We start from the raw sequence: 992 nt of genomic DNA on the forward strand, positions 1-992 counted from the left end.
TAATAAGCTAAACTGATGTGCTGCACTTGGTATGAACACAGAATGATCACACCTAGTTGATATGGCTCTGAAAAGACACAAAGATCAAGATCTCAAAAAATTCAGAGAAATATTATCATGGATACAATTTGTACATGAGTACACAACCTATATGTGAAACAAGCAGATTGGACTAAAATTTTCAGTTGAGTGAAATTAGACCGCTCAGCCACACTATCACCCACAGGCTGGGTTGAGTGAAATTAAATGCTAACTATGCTTAATGACAGATAATTTTTAAATCTTTTCACTAATAATGCACTTTCATGTATCTGTGGTCATAAAGAAGCTTCACCTCCTCCCAAATCATTCCAGTATAAACTTATAGTTATCAAAAATAACTTATTTGCATTTCTGTTTTGGCCAACAAAGAAAAAGCAAATATTAAACAGACAATAAAAGAATAAGGGGGCAGGGGAGAACTCATTATTCAAGGCCTGCAATTTTATATAAACTAAAAAATGCATTAGAGGCTCAAAATAATAACCCATATACATCTATTGAGCATTATTCTTTTAATTACATGTCCTAAAACATACCTACATACTATGAGTTACCATACGTAGTATCAAGCTTTGAGTTTACTTGCTACTTGGCCCATTAGGCCAACCCTAAAAAATGCTTACCATTGAAATGGAAATTCATTTTCCATTTCAATATTGAATTTGAAATATTCATATTTTGTTCCATATTGAAATTTTTGCTTTATATTGAGTTCTGCTCCTAAGATCAGTCCGAAATGTTTTATCCAGCTTTTTTTTTAAAGGTGTGGGAAGCCTATTATAAAATAATTGAGTCTCTCTTTTCAGTGTCAACTATGTAGTAAACAAATTTGCAGCCAAGTCTTGCATATCTGTCCCATCTCGATATAATAATTTGTCATCATTTTAAGAGTATAATACTTACACTAAGTGTATGTTTTGTTCAAATTAAACAGATTACAAAGGAAACAA

The sequence above is a fragment of the Homo sapiens genome, chromosome 16, assembly GCF_000001405.40.
Source record: "Homo sapiens chromosome 16, GRCh38.p14 Primary Assembly".
Lineage (NCBI taxonomy): Eukaryota > Metazoa > Chordata > Mammalia > Primates > Hominidae > Homo > Homo sapiens.